We start from the raw sequence: 3645 nt of genomic DNA on the forward strand, positions 1-3645 counted from the left end.
CTAAAAGAGTGCCCCTGATATCTCCCAACTGGGTTCTGAAAGGATTCCCTGAGGGGATTTTATCATAGACACATTTAAAATGCCAAGAATGAATCAATGTGTCACCAAATTTCAGTGTCAGTGCTAGAGGCAGATTTATGGCTCAAATGAAGTCGGTTTAAAAAAAAAGAAGAAGAAATTTCACTTTATTCTCTAGCTGTGAAAATATTCTCTGAGGAGTCTCCTGTCAGAACACCTATATGACCAAGAGTGGAATTTATCAGAGCAGATGTGAGAATAAGAGTTTAGTGTTAGTTCTCTATTGCCATGTAACAAATTACCCAAAACTTAGAAGTTTAGAACAACAAATATTTATTATCTCAGACATCTATTCCTGAGGGTCAGCAATCCAAGAGCTGCACAGCTGGGTGATTCTGGCTCAGGGTTTTTCATGAGGTTACAGTCAAGCTGTCAACCAGTCCTACAGTCATATGAAATCTTGACTGAGGCTGAAGGATCCACATCCACAATGTCGCCTAATTTCTGACTGGAGGCCTTGGGTTCCTAATGGCTGTTGGCAGGAAGCTTCAGTTTCTCTCCACATGGGCTTCTCCATGGGGATACCTGAGTGTTCTCATGACATAGTAGTGGACATGTGATCCAAGAAAGAGCAGGACAGAAGCCTTGTCTGTCAAAATCTAGACTCAGGATTGATATACCATCAATCTGCTGTACTCTACTGGTCGTATAGACTAACTCTGATAACATGTGAGAAAGAAATACACAAGGGCCTAAATAGTGGGAGGCAGGGAATGCTTTGCCTTTGGGATTCTCTAGTGGCCACCTTTAAGGCTGGCTACAACATATTAGGTGGTAAATGCAATGGAATTCATGACTCCAATATATAGAATAAAAATAGAATGACTAATAAATACTGAAGATTGGTGGTGCTCAGATTTGAGCAGGCATCAGAATCACCTGTGTATTTAGCAATACACAGATAGCTAGAATCCACCCCTAGAGTTTGTGATTCAGTAGGTCTTAGGTGGGGTTGAAGAACTGGAATTTCAAGTAAGTTTCCAGATAATGCTGATGCTGCTAGTCTGGGGGCCACACTTGTTGTAGATAAGTCTGTCAAAATTTCGAATTTGAACATACCTTAAAGGTCTTCTGATTCAATGGTTTCCAAGTCCAGATGACCATTAGAATCACCTGTGGGAGACTCTTCCCCACCCCAACTCAAGAGTCTATGATTTTTTAAACTCCTCTAGCCAATTTCATGATCAATCAGGTTTGGAAATCCCCAACCCCAAAGTCTCCTCTGCTTAGCATCCTCAGCATCAACCCTCCTCTTAAAGAAGACTCTTAGCAAATTGTGGTGTATGTATATACCATAGAATACTACTCAGCCATAAAAAGGAATGAAATAATGGCATTCGCAGCAACCTGGATAGAACTGGAGATCATTATTCTAAGTGAAGTATCTCAGGAATAAAAAAGCAAACATCATATGTTCTCACTCATAAGTGGAAACTAAGCTATGAGGATGCTAAGGCATAGGAATGATACAATGGACCTTGGGACTCGGGGGAAAGGGTGGGAGGAGGGGTGAGGGATAAGACTACACAATGGGTACAGTGTACACTCCTTGGGTAATGGGGGCACCAGAATCTCAGAAATCACCACTAAAGAACTTATTCATGTAACCAAACACCACCTGTTCCCCAAAAACCTATTGAATTTTTTTTTTAAAGAAGACTTGTAGCATAGCAATAGGCCATTAACTCCCTCCTAAGGCAATGCCCATTACAGTGTGGGCAGATCAACTGCCTCAAACGTGCTACTCGGACTTAAGCAAAACTGACTTGTCCACGATGTTCACACATTGCTCACCAAGCCTATGGATTCTCTCTCCTCATAACCACTGTCTAGTTTTCTAAAAAGGACTTTTATTTCACCCTCAGTCTTCTATTTTTTAGGCAAAATATCCTTTGTTCCTGTAATTCATCCTCAGTGGGCATGGTATACACTGTTCTCATGGTTCCTAGTCCTCTCTGTTTCTCTTTCTCAGTCTCCTTCTTTGTAGGTAATGGTTAGAATGGAGCTATTAACCCAAGTGTGGTGCAACTCAAAGAAGTATAGAGGAAATATAGCACTTTTATCTTGGATGTGCTTTTCCTATTGGTCCCACCTAAGAATATAACAACCTTTCAGTCAGTCCCAGCACACTGGATAGGAAATTATGACAAATAGATATTTAGAAAACTCCCAAGCCATCTGAGAAAGCACCCTCAATGAGTATCTTCGAGATGTCTAAGCAGCCCAAAAGATCTTGACTTCCTATTCTCTGAGAACTGCAATCTTTATTCACAAAAATGAACCCCCAATAGCCTCAGTGAGAGTGGACTGGACCAGGGTGTCAAGCAACACAGGCTGGGATGAGGAGATTCTCTTTGATGAAAGAGGAGTGGTCACTCTCTTCATGAGGATCTAATGAGTAATCTCAGGACCTGCCTTTTGCCTGATGGAAAAGAGAACTTCCCTGCAGAGATACAGAAAGAGAAGCCAATGCTCCAATAGAAACAGAGGGGGGAGGAGGCGGAAGAGATGGAGAGAGAGAGAGAAAGAGAGAGAAAGAAAGAAAGAGAGAGAGAGGGAGGGAGGGAGGGAGGGAAACAGATGGTCAGCAGCCCAGTGAGTGACCTTCTGGGTCCTAGTTCTTGTCATTTCTGAAACTCAGCTGCATCATTGACCTTGGGTTCCATAACCCATCTCTGCATCTCTATAACCCATCTCCTATATTTTTTGCCTAATCGGGCCTAATTGTTTGCCATTTTTTCAACTAAAGAATGTCAGTGAATAGAATACAATTTCCAGAAGACCTTTGGCACTGCTTGTGCTATTATGTCTGCATTGGGTGGAAACAAGCCTCCCTTGTGCAGGGTTGGTATTTATTCCTTGGGCCTCTAGACCCATCAAGACCTTTCTTTTCACCTAAATCAGTTGAGGACCTGTCTGCACTCCATTAAGCCCAGCAGCTTTCCCACCCCTATCACAGCCCACTCCAGGGTCAGCCCAATTTTATATTCAACAATAAAATCAACAAAACCTTTTAAAAATTTTTTGGAAATGTCCGTTTTGGGGTGAAGAAAGCACTATGAGAAAACTGGAGCTTCAGCTCACACTGACATGTTCACACCACCTCACTCCCTCTCACACGGCTCCAACCCTAAAGTGAAATTCACCTACATGAAAGCTGCCTTCCAGTCTGCTCTCCTACTTCCATACCTTCTCTCTCAACTATTTCTTCTTGGAACACTCAATTACTACTTACTGCTTCTCAATATTGAGAACCTACGTGTACCAGGAGCTGTGTAGGTCAGTGGGGACACAGAGAGGATAAGGCAGTCCCAGGTTCTGGCCTCAGAGAGCTTCTAAGAATGCCCTCCTTGCAGCCTTCCGAATCCCACCACTCACAGAGCTCACTGCTCAGATACTTGTCCTCATCCCCTTCCCATTCCCAGCCTGCCTGCATCTCCATCAAATTGCACCTAAAGATCTATTCCCTGACGGTCTTGCTCTCTGGTTTCTGAGTGATGGCAAGCTCATTGAATGGTCCAGTGTCTGCTAATAACTCTGCTGAGCCTTTGGCTTAATATCATCACA

The sequence above is a fragment of the Homo sapiens genome, chromosome 2, assembly GCF_000001405.40.
Source record: "Homo sapiens chromosome 2, GRCh38.p14 Primary Assembly".
In the NCBI taxonomy this organism is placed as follows: Eukaryota; Metazoa; Chordata; class Mammalia; order Primates; family Hominidae; genus Homo; species Homo sapiens.